This window comes from Homo sapiens, chromosome 20 (genome assembly GCF_000001405.40).
Source record: "Homo sapiens chromosome 20, GRCh38.p14 Primary Assembly".
NCBI lineage: Eukaryota > Metazoa > Chordata > Mammalia > Primates > Hominidae > Homo > Homo sapiens.
In genome coordinates, this window is record NC_000020.11 from 41,393,147 (window position 1) to 41,414,987 (window position 21,841).

A 21,841-nucleotide genomic window follows, 5' to 3' on the forward strand; every position below is an offset into this window, starting at 1 on the left:
GCCTGCTGGAGCCCCCAGCTCCCTCTTTCCACCCCCCATCTAGGGCCTGGCCTGACCTTCCTCCCCAGGGCAAGGAACTGGCCTGGCTCTTATCCTGGAGGAGGCTGCAGCTGCTCCTGCAGCCCTGGTCCCAGCAGACAAAGGCGCTTTCTTTCCTAGTACAAGGTCTTGATTGCATGTTGCCCTGGATCCAAAAGTTCCTATGGAGGAAGCAGTTTCCTCCCAGGGTGTGTGTGTGTGTGTGTGTGTGTGTGTGCACGCACGTGTGTGCTGGGTTTCAGGGAGTTGGGCTGTCAGGGAGTGCAAGCCCTCTCCCAGCCTCCTGGGTTTAGCCTGGCATTGCTCAATCTGCATCCTTTGTGTACATCTCTAAGTGTCTATGCATGTGTGTGTACGTGGTGGTGTGTGATTGTATGTATGAGCATGTTTGTGCATGTCCCTGCAGCTGCAGGTGCGACTGCCTAGTATGTACCTGTGCATATTTCTGTACACATCAGCACATGCTTATACACAGTCGCAAGCCTACGTATCTGTGTAACTTGTGTCTGTGCCCACATGCGTTTGGGGGTGTATGCATATGTTTCATGTGTGTGTCTACATGAGACACCTGGTACCAGGTCCCTAACTCTGCTGCCTCTGGCTGTGCCTCCCCACACCCTCTGCTGCTGTGTGGGGGCTCTGCAGTATGCAAGTCCTCCTAAAATAGCCCCCTTTCTTCTTCCCAACCCCCGGCCCCGCCTCTGCATTTGTCTGGGAACAACCTGGCCTCTTTCAGCTCTGGGAGGAAGACAGGTTTGTACAGCTTGGCTTGGCCCATACACTTTCCAAAACTCTCTGGCTCCCAGCCAAACTCTTTATAAAAAGGCTCATGGGGAATAGCCTAACAGGAAGGTGGGAACTCTGCCTGGGGGGCTCAGGAACCCTGCTCCAAGCCCCAAGATTAAATGGGAGCATCAGTCAGCTGAACTTCAGCCAGAGACGGCCCTGCAGCCTGAAGGTGAACTTGGTCAATGGACCCTTCACCCCCAAAGATGGGGACACAGCATCTCAAGGTCTCATGTCCAGGGTGGCAGAGCTCGGAGGGGTCCCAGGGCTCAGGCAGCTCAACTCCCCATGGGCACACTGGAGGGAGAGGCCCAGAGTGATGCCCCAGACCAGGCAGGAGCTGAGCCACTTCCTAGCATCCTGCAGCCCCAGGCCCTGGTGACCCTGCCATGGATAACCCTGGGTCTGCCTCTTCTGCAGGGAGGTGGGTGCCACTGCCAGACTTCAGAGTAGCAGGCTCTGAGCCTGGCTGGCCCTTTTGCTCAAGGCCTCCTGAGTCCATATCACAAAGTCAGTGTTTGAGCACAGGGTTGGTTTACCCAGCACTTGCCTTACTTGGGGTGCAGGGGACCTCAAGCTGTTTCTCCTAGTCCCACTGAGGCACAAGAGAGGGGCTTTCTGTACTGCTATCTCCCCTACTGGGGCTCAACCCAGTCTTTTTTTTTTCTTTGAGACTGAGTCTCACTCTATTGCCCAGGCTGGAGTGCAGTGGTGCAATCTTGGCTCACTGGAACCTCCGCCTCCCGCGTTCAAGTGATTCTCCTGCCTCAGCCTCCTGAGTAGCTGGGATTACAGGCACGCACCACCATGCCTGGCTAATTTTTGTATTTTTAGTGGAGACGGGGTTTCACCATGTTGGCCAGGCTGGTCCCGAACTCCTAATCTCAAGCGATCCACCCAACTCGGCCTCCCAAAGTGTTGGAATCACAGGTGTGTGCCACCGTACCTGGCCTCCACTGGGTCTTAAGGGTGCCCTAGGGTGAAGATGGGAGGGCAGTCCAATGGGTAAGACCCTATCTCAAGTGGATGCTCAGGGCACAGGTGGCACCCCCCTCACTGGTCTGTCACAGGAGACACAGGGGCTGCTGCTGGAGATGCCACAGCCGTGTGGGAGGGGCAGGCTGGTGGGGCAACTGAGGAAGAGGATCCCAGAAGCCTGGGTTCAGACATGGCTCCAGGGGGCTCCTGGGTGCTGGAAACAGACGAGACACCCTCAAAGAGGCTGGTTCCTTCAGTCCATCCCCACTGACCGCTGCCAACCACCCCTTTCCTCTTCCCTTCAGAAACCTTTTTCCAGGCGGGAGGGATGGTAGCTGGGAAGCTTTGCTCTTATCTGGCATGTGCCCAGGCCAGGCACCGAAACTCAAAAGCCAAGCAGAGAATCTTTTTTTGTCTGCTTCCGATTGTCGTACCTTGTCCCTGAGAGACACTCATGGACCAGCCCAGCTTGAAAAGGAGCCAGAGAACACAAGAAACAACCAGTAACTCCAAAGAAAGGTCAGGGTTTCAAGAACATTGTGCCCCCCCGGTTGACTGTGCAGAGCAAGTACCTCTTTGGATGGAGGTTTTATTTCTTTGAACTCTTGTTCCTTACAGAGGCTGGGAGTGGTTGGGCCCACAGGGTGGGGGTGGTGGACTCCTTGTCCTTGGGCCTGTTTTGGGGATGCTGGGTTGCGCACTGGGAGTGGAGTTGGTGGGGGCTCTGAATTCTCCCACGCTCAGTCTAGGGATGGGAGCTGCCTCTTTCTTCCCTCATGGGATGCTAATTATCCTCAACTTGTCTGGGAGAAGAAAGGAAGTAGCTGCAGGGGCTTAGCCAGGAGGAACACCTGCTCCCCTGCCCCACCGCCCTCCAGCTCTCCCTCCCTCCCTCCTTCCCTCTCTCTCAGATGCACACCAACACTAGGAGTATCCTTATATACGTATGTGCTGCTTCTTGACGGGGAAATTTGACAAGGGACTGGGGTGAGGGTAGGGGTGTCTTCTACCTGGGGAGGCCCAAGGGGCTGCGGCTGGGGCTTTCCTCAGCCTCATACAATCCACCGCCCCGCCCCCAACCCCTGCCCAAGGCACTCACGGTGCCTTGTGCCTCCGGGCTCTTTGCCGGTCTGGAAAGTCTGGGATCTGTGAATGGAAAAGCCTGGGTCAGAGCTGGAGTGGGGAGTGGGTGGGGGTTGGGAGCTGTGTCTACAGAGTTTAGAGTTTTCTTGGTCTGAGCCAGGAAAGAGTCTAAACACCCAGCAGTGCTGAGTCCTTGCCTGCCCTGTGCAGCGTGGACCTTCCTCGGCCCAGCTCTCCTGCCCTATGCAGGCTTTGGGAGTCCCTGAGGATTTTCAAAGAGCCCCAAGGCGCTGGGGACAGAGAAAGGTGAGGCCAGGTTGTCATCCTGAGGGGGAACAGGCACACACAGCCAGCAGGGGCCTGATGGTAGATGAGACCAGGGTGACGTGGCAAAGCTGCTTCAGTCTGGCCACAGCACTGCATCGACCTGGACTCTTGAGCCTCTCCTAGTGTCCTGCTTCTGAGAGCCAGCTGGACATCTCAGTGGGGAACAGGACAGTCACTCTCGAGGCAGGAGGATCGCTTGAGCCCAGGAGTTCGAGGCTACAGTGAGCTGTGATCACACCACTGCACTCCAGCCTGGGTGACAGAGGGAGATTTTGTCTCAAAAAAACAAAAACAAAAACAGACAAACAAAAAAGACTCAGTGTGAAGAGGGGAGGGGGACAGGGCAACTCCAGTGTTTCCTCCAAAGTGAAAGTATGCCCTCGGGTTTGGAGGCTGGCCCTCAAGAAGCATGCCCAAAGCCAAGGGCTTCTTGGAAGCATTTTATCTCAAAAGTAGACATGAATCTTATATTCCACTATGTGATTCATTTTTATACAAAACCATGTTGGAGTTAATATGAAATATATATATATATATATATATATGTATGTGTGTGTGTGTATTTTTTGAGATGGAGTCTCACTCTGTTGCCCAGGCTGGAGTGCAATGGTTCCATCTCGGCTCACTGCAACCTCTGCCTCCTGGGTTCAAGCAATTCTCCTGCTTCAGCCTTCCCAGTAGCTGGGATGACAGGCTCCTGCCACCACACCTGGCTAATTTTTGTATTTTTAGTAGAGATGGGCTTTTGCCATGTTGGCCAGGCTAGTCTCGAACTCCTCACCTCAGATGATCCGCCCGCCTTGGCCTCCCAAAGTGCTGGGATTACAGGCATGAGCCACTGTGCCTGGCCATATGAAATATTTTAAATGAGTTTTTGCATTGAATCTATGAATAAAATTGATGCTGCAGGATGGGGATCGACAAACTTTTTCTGCAAAGGATCAGACAGTATAATAAATATTTTCGACTTTGCAGGCTGTGTGGTCTCTGTGACCACTGCTGTCGTAGCCCAAAAGCAGCTTTGTATAGACAATACACAAAGGAATGAGTATAGCTGTGTTTAATAAAACTTTATTTATGGCCACTAGAATTTGGATTTGGGATCTTTTTTTTTTTTTTTTTTTTGGAGACAGAGTCTCGCTCTGTCACCCAGGCTGGAGTAGAGTGGCGCGATCTCAGCTCACTGCAAGCTCTGCCTCCTGGGTTCACAACATTCTCCTGCTTCAGCCTCCCGAGTAGCTGGGACTACAGGCGCCCGCCACCACACCCGGCTAATTTTTTGTATTTTTAGTAGAGATGGGGTTTCACCGTGTTAGCCAGGATGGTCTCGATCTCCTGACCTCGTGATCTGCCTGTCTTGGCCTCCCAAAGTGCTGGGATTACAGGTGTGAGGGGATTATTTTTATGTTCATGAAATATTTCCCTTTGATTGTCCAATTATTTATAAATGTGAGTCCTGGTTCTTGGCTTGTGGGCCGTAGCTCTCACTCCACCCTGGGAAGAAAGCGTGTTGGGCCTGTGGCTCCACATGCAAAGCCAAGGCCTGAGCAAGAACACTAGATTCTGGAATCAGACCCATCTCTAAATTCTTGTTCTTCCTCATTAGTTATGCCACTGAAGGCAGGTGACAACCTACCTGAGCCTGGTCCTCTCCTGGAGAACGTGTTTTGGAATGAGCTCACAGAAGGCCTGCACAGTAGGTATTGACTAAGCAGTGCTGTGGCCACCTTTAGTGGTGCATGTAGCTGAGCTGCCTGGGTAGGAGGAAGGTCATGGCCAGCAGATGAGTGGGTGAGATGTGCCTCTTCCCCCTCCCTAGTCAGCTCCCCCATCCTTTTCCCCAGGTCATTCTAGCTGAACAGTTGTCCTACTCCCTGCCATCCTTCTTTCCACCTTCCAAGATTGGACACTGCTTCTCATGGGGCTCCTTGGCCCTGGGCTGGTGAGTCCAAGCACTTAGACACTTACTCCCTAGGATAAGCCCCAGCTCAGAGGCCTCCCAACACCAGCACTGCGGGATGGGAGGGAAAAACTGAGGCTAACTGCCTCCCCACTGGCCTCAGGGATGGTAGCTGCAGTGCAAGGGCCAGAGCAGCCTCTCTCCCCTTGCTCATCATTTGTGCTTAGTGCTATTTTATGAAGCTGCACTCTAGAGGGATGGCCTGCTCCAAGCCTCAGACTAAAGATGCCCAGCTCCCCTCCTGGTCAGTTTACAGTTCTGGGTTTACTCCTTCTGAGTTCCCGAAGCCCAGCCCTGACATTTTCCAGCTGGATGATTGGGCAAGTTACTTAGCCTCTTTGGGCCTGGGCCTGTTTCCTTGTATGTATGAGGATAACCTCATAGGGTTATTGCGGGGATTAAGAATTTGGCCATAACATATGTAGAACAAATCCTACTCACAGGAAGTGCCTAGTAAATAGCACACTATTGCTACTAAGTAAGGTTACCAGATAAAATACAGGCTGTCTGGTTAAATTTGAGTTCCAGATAAACAACAGATTTTTTAGGCTGGGGGTGGTGGCTCACGTCTGTAATCCCAGCGCTGTGGGAGGCTGAGGTGAGAGGATTGCTTGAGGCCAGGAGTTTGAGACCAGCTAGGGCAACATATCAAGATCCCATCTCTACAAAAGATAAAAAATTAGCTGGGCATGGTGGCTCATGCCTGTGGTCCCAGCTACTTCAGAGGCTGAGGAGGGGGCGTCGCTTAAGCCTGGGAGTTTTGAGGTTGCATTTTTTTTTTAGAGACAGGGTCTGGCTCTGCTGGCCAGGCTGGAGTGTAGTGTTGTGATCACAGCTTCCTGCAGCCTCAACCTCCTGGGCTCAAGTGATCCTCCCACCTCAGCCTCCTGAGTAGCTGGGACCACATGCACACACCATCATGCCTGGCTAATTTTTCAAAATATTTTTTGTACAGATGAGGCCTCTGTATGTTGCCCAGGCTCAAACTCCTGGATTCAAGTGATCCTCCCCCTTCAGCCTTCCAAAGTGCTGGAATTACATGGTGAGCCACCACACCCAGCCAAAAATATTTAAATAAATTTAAAAAGGGAAAATTTTTAAAAGTGCATATACCAAATACTGTATGAGATATACTTACTCTAAAAAATGTCTACATGAAATTAAAATTTAACTGGGCGTTAACTTTCCCTCCTAAATCTGGCACTCCTACACTGAGGGAGGCTCCACAAACCCAGGAACTTTCCTGTTCCCCAGCCCCAAAACAGCCCCCACATCCCTCTAGTCCACCCAGCACAATGCGCTCATGCAGAAAAACCTTCTTTCCTGCGGGCAGGACAGAAAGCTGGTTTCCCACAGTGCTCTGAGACCAATCCCAGATCCACTCTGTACTTGCCTTGGGACTTGGAACAAGCTCTTCCTTGCCCCTTCCTTATCCTGTTTTTCCAGTGAGACTGGTAAATCCTCTTGCTGGCTATCCAGAAGGAGTAAAAGACCTATGATTCAACAGAATCAGCAGTATTAAGAATCTAATTGATTGGGCCAGTGGCTCACACCTGTAATCCCAGCACTTTGGGAGGCCGAGGCGGGCGGATCACCTGAGGTTGGGGGTTTGAGACCAGCCTGACCAACATGGAGAAACCCCATCTCTACTAAAAATACAAAATTAGCCAGGCGTGGTGGTGGGCGCGTGTAATCCCAGCTACTCAGGAGGCTGAGGCAGGAAAATCGCTTGAACCCAGGAGGTGGAGGTTGCAGTGAGCTGAGATTGCACCATTGCACTCCAGCCTGGGCAACAAGAGCGAAACTCCATCTCAAAAAAATAAAAATAAACAAAGACTCTGATTAATCATTTCAATGAACCCCATCAACAGCCCTATTAGTGCAAACTATCATTATCCCCATTTTACAGATGAGGAAACAGACTTGGAGAAGGGTGTTCCAAGTGGCTGTTCCTCCCCTGCAACTGGCCCTCATTCTAGGTCTTCCCATTGTCCTCCAAGGCTTGGGCTGAGCCAGAACTCAAACCCCAAGGCCATCTAGGAGGCACCAACTTGTCACAGCCATGCTCAGACTCCATGTCCAAATTAACCTCATCAGCTTCCCAGAAGGAGCCAGCGTTGAACTCACCCTTTTCCCTATTCCCTATTTTGTCCCATAGATACCTTGCTGAGTTTGGATTATGAAAGTGGCCACAATGCCCACCACTAGGCAGCCAAGATCTAAATTACTGGGCTGGGTGAACCCTACTTCTGACCTAATAAATAAATCCTGTGGTTTCCAGAAGAGGTAAATGAACAATACTTCTTACAAGAGGCCATTTAAGGAATCTGGTGTAAATGAATCTAGCATCAAGTTTTCCAGAGGGTGTGACACTTATTTGAGTGTTCTGTTTTTCCTGGTGCCAATTTTTCCGAGTGTAATTTCTTCACTTTTGGTTTCTGAGATAGAGGCCCCAGAATGTTATCACGAAAGGCAAAATTGGGGTGCTGTCTCCCCAGCTGGTGGGACTGCGGGGTCTAGCCCAGCTCTGCTGTTCATGATTGACAAGATAGCTTTGGCAGCCTCTCTGCTGGCTTTCAGGAGGCAAATTCGATGTTGGCATCCCTCTACCCAGTGCCCAAGATGCTGTGAGGACAAATGAGGTCACTAATGGCAAACACACACCAACAGTAGTCCAGTGTGCTGAACCAACTATTCCTATTCTGCCCTTGTACAAGGTAGTATTTCCTGGGACAGTGTTTTAGGTAAAAAATGAAACCAAGACCCTTTACTACTTATTGTTTAAGTTATTATGAGGGCTCCCTATATCTTGATTAGAGGCCTATAAAACCTAAGGCCTTCCTGTAACAATGCCCATCCATGCTTCAGGCCATTCATGCACCCATCTGATGGTGCTTAGTTGGGACCCAACAAGATGAGGCTGCGTCAGTCTCTTGCTCAGCCTTCAAAGAGGCTTTGGCACTTTCCTGCCAGCCTCATTGGTAACTTCTGACCCACCCCTTTTGGGGTTGAGACACCATGCTCAGGAGCACAGAGTTCTGAAAAACCTTGAGAATTTCAGCTACCCTGGTGATCCTGTGTTTTATGAGCCTACTCTAACCTATGCAAATCTAGTTCCCCCATACATTCCAGGTGTGTGATTGAGGTGGGACTCTTGGTACGGAGCTTAAGAAGTGGCACTGGGGATGTACCAGCTGAGAGCGTTCAGGCCTCCAGTCTGTGGAGCAGGATGCTGTGCTGCCAATTCCTTTTTTTTTTTTTTTTTGAGATGGAGTCTCGCTCTGTCGCCCAGGCTGGAGTGCAGTGGCATGATCTCGGCTCACTGCAATCTCTGCCTCCCAGGTTTAAGCGTTTCTCCTGCCTCAGCTTCCTGAGTAGCTGGGATTACAGGCGTCTGCCACCACGCCCAGCTAATTTTTGTATTTTTAGTAGAGACGGGGTTTCACCATGTCGGCCAGGCAGGTCTCGAACTCCTGACCTCAAGTGATCTGCCTGCCTCAGCCTCCCAAAGTGCTGGGATTATAGGCATGAGTCACCTCGCCCAGCCCCAACTCCCTTCTAGGGCATGTTTTAACCACGTGTTCTGGTCAGTTGGTCAAGAGACAGGCCAAGTCAACCCTCATGATGAATATTCGACAAGCCCTCAGTAGGGTGCCCAGCACGGATCAGACACCTCGGAAAGGCGATGGGCATACCATGTACTCATCAATGCCCCAGGCAGCAGGAGACACCCAAGTGCCACTGAATTCCTCAAATACAAATGTGACTTTTAAACTTTTTCTTTTGTTTTTAAATCCAGGATCAAGACCACAATTTATTATGTAAGACATGGGGTGAAGAATGGTCAAGGAAAGTTATGGCCGTGAGTGACATGGAATTAGATGAAAAGGCTCAAGTTTGCTGAAGAGAGTTTAAATTTGGCTTTTGCTCTTGGAAACGTCAAAATAATCATAAGAAGCACTTGTGCCTTACAGAGCAAATAATCCACAGAGTGTCATATTCATTTTGCAAACAGGGTCACAACAGCAGTCAAATAGAAGCCTGAACACCCAGAGAGTTAACATACAGATTCCATAAGGATAACAAGGGATTGAGCATGCTGGTGGGTTTTTAAGTCAGATCCACATTGAACCCTGTGACCTACCGGAGGTTATAAGTGGAACCCGGGGAAAGCAGCTTTTCCATACAAAACAACAACAACACAACGACAACAAAGAAAACCAGACTCTGCTGGATGTCTATAATACTCATTTGCAGTAAGGCTTTCAAGATACAGGAATTTTTATAGCATTTGTATTTTAAGGATTTAGGGCAAATACATTTTTTTTTCTACTTGATAAAAAGAAAATTAGTACTTAAAAGGTTCAAAAATATATTGATTGAGTTATTTTTCTTACATAAATAAATTATATTGATTTTTAGGATTTAACAGCTGAAAAAACCCTTTCTGCTTCCACTGGAGGCAAAACTGAACAAAATGTTAGTTAAATAGAGAGAGCAGCATTTCTAAGAAATCTGTGGTCAGCATTATAGACCATCTATGCTACAAGGATGTCATTAAATAGGATTTGTTCAATTACTGGATTCTTCTTCTATGATCAGTTATAGAATTTCTGGTTTATATCTCTGATTCATAAAACTGGGACTCCACTTTTTGAAGATACATCTGATTGATTTTTTTCAGTCATGATTTAACAGACTTCTTTGAGATGCTCATTTTAACATTTACATAATTTATAATCCCAAATGTATAAAAGACAATGAAAAAAGCATCATAAATAAATAATGCAAAATGAAATAGTTATGTCAGACTTTTGGACCTTCTGATAAATTAGCAAAACTGTAACAGAAAAAGTAAAAAATACAGTAAATTGTGACAACAAAAAGTGAAACTGGTACTAGTAACACTTGCAACATTTCCAAGGGTCCTGCGCAGCCCTGCGCCCCCAGAGTACTGAACCATGAGCTTACTTCAAGTCTCAGAGTGTGAACTACCTGTGAAGAGTGAGACCATCAGAAGGGACGTTAACATGAAGGTGAAAGGACATGGGGAAGTGCTGCTTAGGCAGTTTCTTTCTCAGTTCCTAAACATGGAGAAGCTGAGGAAGAAGAGAAAATAATGTTGACTTGCAATGTAGTTTCGATTAACTGATAATTTGGAATTTGGGTCCAACTGTAAGATATAAACAGAATGGAGAAATTAATGGAGAAGTAACTTTTCATAGCTGTATTATAAAGGGTGGCACACATTTGACAGCCTCAGACACTCTTGATCAAAGGACCTACTAGCAAGTGTCAAAGTGTTGGGCAACTGTCTTCTTGCAGGCTCCAGAAAGAACCTTATTCTTGGTGAAGGAAAGCCTGAAGTGAAAATCCATTCGGTCCTGGTGCTCTTTAAACACAGAGAGGCAAATTAATGGCTAGAGAAATCTGTAAGCGAACCAGGTGAGAGCAGAGCGCTAGCCGTGTGCTTGTGAAGCAGCGTGTAGCTCTACGGAGCGCGGGTCCTTGCCCCACCCCCGTCGACAGCAATAACTCATGGTGGGTAAAGCTTTCTCGCAGCAAGAGGAATCTTTTCACTGGTGAGAGGGATGTATAGAAAATAATGCCTAGTCAGTCAGTATTTCTTCTTGCTGCAGGTGTCTGAAAAACCACCAAGGGGGAAATTATATTACTACCGGTAAGGTTTTTGTTTTTTATAAAGAAATGAATATATGTATTTTCAACCATTAGTTATATACTTCTGTCTATACTACTCACTTAGTAATCATGATAAAATAGGGAAATATTTTAACTCAAAAATATGCACCAGCACTTCCTTTTTCTGTGCTTTTTGGTTCCCTGTGACATTCTTCCTGTGCAACCCAGCTCACAGAAAAAGAGCTCCTCTTTGTCTCTGTTCTTCCACCCTTCAATGGTAAAACCCTAGACAGCTTTCTTTTGCCATTTTTCCTCCTCAAGTGAGTGGGAAACTTGGAAGAGAAGGGGGTAGGGCGTGTCACCAAGTACTGTATTAACTATGATTGCTGGAATGAACTGGATAACAGAATGAGAATTCTGTGCCTCCTAGACTAGGTAGACAACACTTATCTAATGAAGTGGTGAGACCCTGCAACTATTAACATCTGTTACCATAGTTCTCAGACAGGAAATCAGGTACGTAATCTTACTTATGGAAACACAGGTTCTTATGGAGGTGAAGTGAGGGAAGTAACAAACCTTTATGGGATAAGAAACTTACAAGTCACAATAATTTCTTAAATGAAAAAAGTTCTAATTGGTGTCGTTGTTGGAGTCTTTGAGTGCCCCCTCCCCAGCCTGTGCCCCATGTTCTCTCTCTGCGGGCAAAGGGGCACTGGGTTCGGCACAGTTCTCATCACCGCTGGGCTCCCTTTCACAGCTGGGAGCAGGCTCTGGGTGGGAGTTGGGGTTGTCCCCCTTTGTCTTCTTCTTCTTCCTCTTCTGGCTCTCCAGACCTACTATTTCCGAGTGTCTGGCCTGCTGCATGGCTGGCAGAGCCATGCCCATACCAGGGGAGAGGAACATGGATGGGTAAATGAGTCCAGGAGATACTCCTGGGATGAGAAATGGGTTAAAAGCCACAGGACTACTAGTAGTTATTGCAGGTTCAGACTGATCAGAAAATGGACCTGGACCAGGCTTGTCCTCAGCTAAAGTGTCTGTTTTCACATCATGGCTACTCGGCTTGTCTTCCGCAGTCTTTTCAGTCACTGCCGTACCACTTTTCGTTGTGCTTGATAGAGACGCCGGAGCAGTGGAAGTGCAGGTGGTTGCCATGGGTGGACTGAGGAGTCCCCCAACACCAAACATCTGGGGCACAGCAGCCATGCCTGGCAGCATCATGGGCAGCATGCTCAGGGTACTTTTGACCTCTTCACCTGTTGGCATCGTGGCAAAGCCAGCTGGAAACCCCACCAGCCCGGTGAGGGGGATGCCTGGCATATTTCTCATGTTCTGAAGTCCTACCAGGTCCATCCCAGCAATCAGTCCATTCATGAACAGTGGCCCCATTCCAGAGGGAGAGTCTGCCACAATGGAAGGAGCCTTCAGGAGTTCGCTCCGAGGCCGCCTCCCCCTCCTGCGGGGGCCCGTATCTCGAAGAATAGGCTCAGCCAGAGTGTGATTGAACTTGTTTTCTGGAAGAAACCCCTGGAAAAACAAAGAAACACAAAATGCTGAAGGCAACAGGATGGCAGGTGGTCAGCTGAGGGTGATGACCAGGGCTCTGCACTGGCCTGGCCTGTCTCCAGCTGCACGAAGGGTTCCCAGTACAAGGAGCACCTCCCGCCTACTTGTGCAGCTCTCTGGCCTGACTGTACCTGACAGGCTTCTCCCTCAGCAGCTGAGAACATTTTGTGGCATGGGCACAACTAGGGCACCTGTCACTGCCCAGTGGTAATTCCAACATGCTGACTGGCAAAAGTGGCATCCAGTCTGTGAGAAGCTGGCAGAAGAGAGTGGGGAGCTGGAGAAAGCACTAAAAGTGCTCTGGTTCTCGGTGAGACTGTTATGGCTGAGACCCCTTCACCAGATCCCAACACTTGCCTTCCTCTTGACACAGGTTTTTATTGAAGCAACAAAGCAGAATATGTAAGACAGGGTTTTAATCCCAAGTTTAAATCCTGACTGCAACCTCCTAGCTGTGGGACTCAGGACATGTCAGTTAGCCTCTGAGTTTAAGTAAAAAAGGACAATGGTACCTATCTTTAGAGTCACGGAAAGTGACGTGTTTAATACATTACCTGATCCATAGGAAGCAGTGCTTGCTAATGGCACATTACTTATTTATTGTGTGTATGCCCCACTCCTCTCTGAATACAATGGGATGTGTACATGTTTGCTGAAGAAATGAAGGACTTCTTGAACACTGTTGGGGAAACTGCCACCAAAATAAGTGGTGGTTCTCCCTAAGGGAGACCATCTATTTTTTCTCTATTTGGAGGTTCACTCTCCAATTTTCTTAATTAGCAGAGAGTTCTGCAGTAAAGCACTTCTGCTCCACGTGGACCACACTGTGACAGGACCTGGGCCCTCAACACGGGTGATCTGGCATCTGCACTGGACATTCCCATAACCCATCAGGATGGCTGAGCTGCACAGAATCCTGGGGGAGGGCAGATTGCTCCAGCAGCATCAGCGAGCGGAAGGCAGCACGTGGAAAGGAAGGCGCAGGCTGCAGCCCCACACCCTCCTTCCTGAGAGTGGAGCTCAGGAGCTCTGCAGGGCAGAGAGGATGCAGCCAGGAACCTGGTCCCTGGAGCGTAAACAAACCACTGCAATTACGATGGATCTTTCTCTGAATTTATAATCCCTAGAGATTGAGAGAATTTCTTCCCACAGATGGGAAGCGATTTCTTTCAGGACTTAGTGCCGCAGTCCCTGCGCCCCTGGAGAACTGCATGCCTTTCTCTCTCTCGACTGCCCTCCACACCTCACTGCTATCAGCTAGTTTATCAACTAGTACATGCCCATGGTATTAAAAAAGGTGAACTGTACTTGTGCAGTTCAGCAGTCTCAGCGTTTCCTCACCCAGGGGAGGTGTACAGTTTGAGGACAAAGCCCTCCCCTGCTGGCACCCTCCCTGACTGCCTGGGCATCTTCTTACGGTTCTTGCTACAAAGTCAGTGCTGTTTTATCCCCTTCCCTTTGATTACAGCAATGGTGAAGCAAAATGTTCAGAGTGGCTTCAATGGATCTTGTCACACTGGATTCCACTGAGGTCAATGGTCACCATCAAGGCCGGAATGCGCAGCCTACGGAGCAGCATGAGACAGGAGAGCTCAACAGTGAGGGGTGAGGCCTCTGGGCTGCTGAGGCAACTCCCAGGGCTGCACCTGCGGCCTTTTCAGGATTCTCCTTTGGAATACCTTCCCTTCCACTAGAGTCTGCAGAGTGGGGGGTGGGGATGTGACAAGCAGCAGCTGAGGCTCCACCAGCCCACAGCCTCCTTGTCTGTGGGAATCAGAGGCAGGGATCTGGCTGTTGCTCTCACTGGGGTACACTCTTGGGGTGCGAAAGGAGATGTGGGTCCACCAAGAGACACCAGAATGACCAGAAAAACCCCACAGAACGCAGAGAAAGAAGCCAGGGAAGCTGAGGATATCTCTGGGCTGAGACTGGCCACCAGGCCTGAGGGCAGTTAAGAAATCTATTTACAATCTGCCTAAGGGCACCTACTTTTAACTTTAATTTGGCAGCCCAGGCATTTCCCATTTTTCCCACTGCCTCTCTTCTCCATAAACTATGAAATAAGCAAATCCTTAGAAGACCCAGCAGATTTTTATTTAAGGGGCAGCTGTAACCTTAGCTGGTGGTACTGGTTTCAGGTTCTCATGGGCTGTAAGAACACACGTGTGTGGTGGGCCCCAAATGAGCAGCAGCTGGACTGTGTTGGTTCCCACACTAGTGGGCACTCAGCAGCGAGGGGAACGGCTGTCAGAGGCAGCAGGGAAGGCGGTGCTGATAAGAGGATGAGCAGCAGAAGAGTGCGAGACGCCACGAAGGAAGCACTGATCACGTGTCAGGCACTGTACGAAGGGCTTCAGCAGCATCTCAACAAATCAGTGAATCAGCCCTGTGGAGTCAGTACTATCATCATGCCTGCTTTACAGAGAATTTACAGATTCATAGATGTGTGAAAACGTGCATATCTGAATGTTTCTGAGTCCCCAGAAATATTTTTTGAACTCCTACACCTGTCCTTCAGTTTCCCAAGAATATTAAAAAAATAAAAAATAAAAAAAAAACCCAGTTCATCATAGACAAAAAAGCTTCATGATGGCAACTTTAAGAAAATTCTTCTCAAAAAGCCTTGGTTTGCATCACAGAGCTGGAAGAAACCCCTGAAACTGTTATATTTAGTCCCCTTCGTTTTCACAAGCTGGGGGTGGGGGTGGGGAGGGTACAGTTGGTCAGGGACAGAGCAGGTGAGAACACAGGCCCTGTGGTTCCCAGCCCAGGCCTCTTTCCACAGCACACCACACCCTCTCTTCTTCCCAGCATGACCTGCCACTTGCAATTTGCTAGGCTGGCAACTGCACACTCTGGCTCTAGGGAGGATCACTGGGGACGCAATTCCTGGCTGGTTCCTGTTTTGAAAGAGAGACAGTAGGACTTGATGGGTCGGGGCCAGGCTAAAAGGATAATTTCTCACCAGTCTGTCTTGAGCTCATCAATGCAAATCGTCTCATTCTGGGCCAGCCACTCTGTCTACACAGCACAGTCTCAGTCCCTTGCTGGCATGGCACCACAGCCCAGGGTGCTTCAGCCAGGGTAACCACAACTTGACCACATATCTTTCTGAGCCCTCTTCCTGCAGCCTACCCACAACCGAGAGGCAGAGAAAGATACTGGGGAGTGTCTTTCCTTTACATCCACAAATGTGCCCTCATAACTCCAGAGAGAGGGGGCATATTCCACCTCAGAGGTCTTTCTGTTAGGAAGAAAACAAGCCCAGCACTTGATGAATGGTGCCTCCTTCTTCTTTTCAAGCAATCTGCTATAAATCAGATCTTCTTTAACATGCTTTGAGACCCTCCTCAGGGGATCTAGGACCAGACTATGCCCCAGAGGACCTTTGGCCACCTTGGCCCTGGCCCAGTAAGTGCAAGTAGCACTCTCAGGATCTGGGATGTCAAAAGCATCCTTTCCCTGCTCTTGCTGAGAACCATGAGTGCAGACACAATGGTGGGTCCTTTCAGAAATGAGAACTTGCTTAGAAGGCACAAGCTAATCTTTCTTCCCCTCTAGATGAGGAGAATAGCAGCAGAAATGCCCCGAGGATAAAGAGAACGCTCTTCATTTGCAGCAGAGCAAGAGCGCTGGCAAAGGAAGTCAGCTTTAACCATGTCCTGTGGAGGAGTCACCCCAGCCACCAGCTGCTGCCCACTCCAGTCAGGTGCCCCTCCCAGCAGCGCGGCGACCACACACAGCGGCCAGGCGGGCTTTGGCAGCTCTCCCTCCTGGTAATTATACCCTGGGAGCAAACCTGCTTCCCCTTCCAGGAAAGGCCTGCGGAGGGGGCAAAGGGAACAAGGAAAAGGAGCTTCCTTATGTTCAAGCACACTGGAGGCAAATCTGCTTTCTATCTAATTGCACAGGCATTCCAGCCTAAGAAGAACATCCTCATCAATGCATGGTGGCATTATTCCAACTCTAAAACTTAACTCTGGGTGGACTTAAGAGAAGGTGGTGACCAGAACTTCCTTTCTCCTCCGAAGGTTAGTACATTCATCCAACAAACGCACGCTGGGTGAAAAGAGACCTAACGACAAAATGCGACGTGTGGCTCTTCATTTAAAAATCCTAAAACCAAACCAAAACACAACAACCAGCTCTAAAAGACATTTTTGAGATAACTGGTGGAATCTGAATATAGACTAGATAACAAGTATTATTAATATGCATGTGTAATAAGGGCAATAATTATGCAGGAAAATGTTCTTTATGAGATGCATGCTGAAGTATTTAGGGGTGATATGTCATGTCTGCAATTTACTGTCAAATGGCCCAGCAAAACCTCAAAACTATACACATACAGGTAAAACCAATATATACATATGTAACTTACATATATAAACTATATTAAGTATATGTGTGTGTATACATATATTTAATGAGTAACCACTAGGTAGTGGGCATTAAAAATTGAATCCCACAACCTTCCATGCAGCCCGCGCAATGATAATTCTGTGGACACCACCCGTCCAAACCACAGCACGTGTGGCAGAAGGGCCATGTGAGCTCGAAGGAAGGGAGGAGGAGTTCCTTGTGAGATTTAAATCTATTTCTAAAAAGAGGGGTAGGGTTTCCGCTATAAATGTTTCAAATTACTATGCTGATATCCTGTGCCCCAAGGTGATGGTAATAGGATGCGGGGGGTTTAGGACGGTGATTAGGTCATAGGGGTCGAGCCCTTATGAATGGAATTAGTGACCTTATGAGAGCTGGCTGTCCCTTCCTCCATGCGAGGGCACAGTGAGAAGACACCAGTCTGGATGATGTGGTATGGGGCCTCACCAGATACCCAATCTGTCAGTGCCTTGACCTTGGACATTTGGGTCTCCAGAACTGTGAGAAATAAATTTCTGTTGCTTATAAGCCTCCCAGTATTCTGTTATGGTAGTCGGAATGGACTAAGGTTCTATGGCAAAGAAAAAGGGTACAGTGCACCCTAGAAGGCCCTGTCCCAAGAGGAGCTGCAGGAGATACACGGGTGCCCCTGTTCGGAAGGCTGAGCTGCCCGAGGTCTTCTTCTTGCCTTACTGCAGGAAAAGGGCCTCCGAGGCAGGGAGTGTGTTTATTTAATAAAAGAGGCTAACACATCTCTGGGAAGAGGCTGGCTTGCAAGAACAGCTTAGAAATGGGTTTTCTGGCAAAGGGTCAGCATCTGTAGGGAGGGATGAACACTAATTTCCAAGGAACATGAGGGAAACTGTTAGACACGGGGAAAGAAACAAGCAAGCCAAGGGGGAACCACATGGCTCTTCCTGAGACATCTCTAAAGCAAGAGCTCAGAGACTACAACAAAGCAAGAACCGGAGATCTTCCCTTGATGGCGTATCTGAGACACCGTGTGCCGAGACAAAAGGAGAAGGTGGGAGGCAGCGTGAAGGGGTGAGGAAAGACAGAGGGGACACAAACAAAGGTGAACTAGCTCGTACTGCTCACGCAAGTGGAAGAAAGTGAGGGAAGAGTCCTAAGAAAAGGGTAGAAGGGACATTTTCTGAGACTAAAGCAAGAGGGGAAAAAAGGGCAGCTTCTCCAACGTGACAAACTGTCTAGGGCCCAAGTCTCCCCCAAAGGGGCTGTGGTAGCAGATGGAGATGAGCAACGGCCACTGGTGGAGCTACTAGACCAGCGGTCATCCAGGTGACACTCTTGAACAAGTTCCCTGAGAACATTAAATGCCAAACTCTTTCTGCGAGAGGAGGAAATGACTAGGGTGGGCGGTCTTTTGGAGCTATAAAAAGAAATCACATTCAAGCAATCCCACCGAGAAGGGAATTCCTACTCCAGGAAAGATGTAGCTGGCAGAGTACTTAAGAGAAGGCATTCAGGAAAGCTTGAGTTTATGGAACAACCTGGGAAAGGCAAAAGTCCCCATGAGCATCTTCAGGAGCTCCCTATTTGGGCAGAAAGTGCTTTTAGGAGGCTAAAAGCACATTTATGTATAATCTGCCCAAACTCAACACATTTTCAAGTTGAAATGTTGTTACTGCCCTCTAGAGGTTATGACTTTTGTAGTCCAAATTTGTACTAATCTGTAAACTATAATTAACTCGGATTCGTTATACTAGAAGTATTCTGCAGAAGTCTTTGAAGTCCCTTCCAGTGTCATGATGCTATAATAGGAAAAGGGTAGTGCTTAGAGGCAGCTGTTTTTCATTGCCAGTGAGGCTGGACCAGGAAGAAATGTCTTAAATGGTAGCCAAAAAAACCTAAATTAGGAAATGAAAACTTCCAATAATGAGTTTTGTTCACTGACAAAGGTTAAAATTTCTTTCCCCTCATAACTCTACAAATAGGAGAAACAAAACACAAACCCAAGTTTTGGCAATGGTTTAACAAACAATTCTGGAGGTAAGGGTTGAAAACAAATGACCACTGGGAGTCACAGAGCGCTCAAAAATGCCACAGCACCATTTCTTGCTGCTAATCAACTTCCTGTGCTGGCTTCTAGTCCTCTTGAAAGATGTCTCCCAGCGAACCCCTTCCCAGCTGGGGCTTTCTCTCAAGTATGTAAGGCACGGCTCAACCAGGATGCTCCTCCTGGCCCCACACTCACGTGGCCTTCTTCCTTACCCTCAGTCCTGGCTCCTTGGGGATGGCAGGAACTCTCTCTTCCCCGCTCAGGGAGCTGACATCTAATTTTCCAGGTTCTTTACAGCGTGGCCTCCTCTGCTTTGGTTTGTCTGAAAAATTCTAGGATGAAAACGGAGACCAATATTACAAAACATGCTATCCCAGATTCTTCTGATGAGGCTGATGCTTTTCAACTGGTTTTGCTATTGTTCTCGTCAATGGTTGTCTGCACAGGAGCTGGCCAGGTTAAACTAAAGGAAATAGCCACCTGGCTTCACCTAGGCTTTCTCTCCTGAAGCACCAGTGTTCCTACAGTAATCTGGAAAACAGGCTGTGTGGGCACCCCCGCCCTCCAGACTAGAACACCTGAGCCGATTCACCAGGCTGCCAGGGCCCTGTTAATCCCTGGCCTTTTCCTCTTGATCATTTCCTTGCATTCTCTTGTCACTGCTACTTGCCTGGCTGGTTTCGCCTGTCTCTGGAGGGTGCACATCTGTGAATGTGTTCTCCTCTTCCTGTGCGCTCTCTACCTACATATCTTATTAGTTAGGCGCACCCAGGACAAAGACAGTGGTGGGGTAGATGAGCAAGTGAGAAGAGAAAAACCAAAAAAGACATCTGTGCTCGAGTCCTCTCCTAAAAATGTCTAGTCTGAGGGACTTAGGACAAAGACAGTACGATGACTTGAAGGGAATGTCCTAAAGCAGAATAACCATAAAACTAAGGACAGACCGTCCCCCAACCACCGCAAATGGAATGTACATAAAACTAAGGACAGATGGTCCCCCAACCACCACAAATGGAACGTATTAACTTGAAAAGAATTCAAAGGAACATTTTCATAGGTGGCAGAGTTTATGCAACCTAAAGATTTCTCTATGAGCTTATGATACTGTGTGGCAATTTTTGTGGGGACAGCGGATAAGTTCTGTCCTCTTAGGATTTTGCATGTCTACTTTTTGGCATAGTATTTTGAGATGGGCTATCATTTCTATTACTGAAGAATTTAATCAAAATTTAAACTTAAAAACAAAAGTCCTTTAACATGATGTTGTCAGCTGACAGATTTCTCCCAAACAGCTCCCAACTTCCTGGTTGCCCTCAGCATGCTTTCATCAAAAATAGCAACAAGTCAGCAGGAAGTAAACAGTGATCTCAGGCAGTACCAACAAACACTTACTGCCCCAAAGCCAGGAACTTCTAAGGAGTAGTCAGCCTGCTGCCTTAGCCAGTCAAGCAGACTCTTGCTGGGAATGGATTTCTCGGCTTGGCTGCTGGCTGCCGTAGCTGGCTCAGGAGCCGAGGTGGCAGGCCCTGGCCCCTCAGGGTGTGTGGTGCTCAAGGTGGCCTGCCCTGGGTCTTCATGGACTTCCTGGATGAAGGAAAAACGAGTATGTATAATCACGACACAATGAAAATTAGTTTCTAAAGAAAGAAAACATGTAAGGTGTTATTTGAATCACTCCACCTATTTCCACCCTGATATTACTCAGCTGGGGTGCCTGAATTAGAACCCTACACACACCACTGACCCACGCCCACATAAGCTCTTGCAAGTGATTTGGTGTTCCCTTCACCTGAGCACTCCTCTCCCGCTCTTGTCCACTTGGTACACTTTAACTCCATCCTGACTGCCGGATTCAGTTTTCCTCCTCTGTCACCACTGCCCACTGTCCCAGGCAGCACTCACTGCTCCAGCTCCTGTCCCCACAGCACTCGGTTCCTAGCTCTCTCACATAAAGAAAACGCCATACCACAATTTACTCACCCTCTATAGTTTGAATGCCTGTCTTACCTCTGTTTTACTAATGCCTATAATGGGGTCTATAACAATGACCATGCTAAATAAGTGTTTGCATCAATAAATTAAAAAAATACTCTGAGGACAAGGGGGAAAATTTTTATCGGTCATTCCATTGGAATTCTATGATCATTATAGAGAAACTATGGTGTTGCACATCTAAAAAAGGTAAAAGACTTCTTAAAAGCTTGCAGGATTGAGCAGGGAAAGAACGTGTCACTTCAGCTTCCCAGATTACTTTGAAAGTCTAAGAGGAAGACATAACCCAAGCAATATGGCTTAGCAGTAAAGTTCTCAGCCCCTAGAGAAAAAGGTCCTTGGTTTGGTTTCCTGCTTTGTCACTTACTAGCTGGATAATCTTGGGGAAATTATTTAATGCTTTAAAGCCTTATTTTCCTCACCTATAAAATGGGAATAACAAAGCCCATCTTCAGAGTGGTTGTGAGGAACAAACAAGATAATCATGTAAAGCCTTGAACATGGTAAGCAGTAGGCACTCAATAAGTACTAGTTATTATTATTGCTTTTAAAATAAGAAAACATAAAATGTGATTCCTGTTTTGGAGCTCAGAATCCAGTAAATGGGAAAACCCAAAATACAACATGAAACATTAAACAAAGCGTAAAAGGGATCTCTCTTGGCCAGGTATACGGTTTCTGACCTTTTCTGTTGTTTGCAAATGATTTCCTTTGAGTTTGGAACAAACTGTCTTAGCATGATCTCCGTAAATCTTCAACCCTCCGTGGTAGATGCTGTTGCCCCACTTTACACAGGAGCAAAGTGAGTCTCAGTTGTAGCCCAATATCACCCAGTAAGTCAAGCAGAAGAGCCAGGATCACATTCAGGTAGCCCTGACTCCTGTTCTTTCTCCCATACCCCAGTCTTGGAGAGCCTCACTACCCCGGAGAAAAGCCGCTGCACACTCAACCCTGCCATCTTGCTCTGCCGTGCCGTCAACAGTGGCTCTTCTGAAACCCTGGAGGAGCGGGGTTGTTCCTATTTGAAATGGCAAGACCTCCTGGCTCATTTCTCCAGGCTGTAA

The 21,841-nt window shown here is 48.1% G+C and overlaps 1 protein-coding gene across 15 annotated transcripts in view; it reads right to left on the bottom strand.

Annotated features, from left to right (window-relative positions):
- Window positions 8,937–21,841, bottom strand: part of CHD6 (chromodomain helicase DNA binding protein 6) — a 216,295-nt gene continuing 203,390 nt past the window's right edge. For 13 of the 15 annotated variants that reach the window (NM_032221.5, XM_047440549.1, XM_047440545.1 and 10 more), the window contains 3 exons: window positions 20,178–20,369; window positions 18,998–19,117; window positions 8,937–12,343 (listed from right to left, as the gene is read on the bottom strand). In NM_032221.5, coding sequence (NP_115597.3) covers window positions 11,447–12,343; window positions 18,998–19,117; window positions 20,178–20,369 — 1,209 coding nt within the window. In that variant the 3' untranslated portion in view covers window positions 8,937–11,446. Of the gene's footprint in view, window positions 12,344–15,000; window positions 15,037–18,997; window positions 19,118–20,177; window positions 20,370–21,460; window positions 21,836–21,841 lie in introns of those variants that run through there. The other 2 variants (XM_017028102.2, XM_017028104.2) reach the window with 2 other exon arrangements.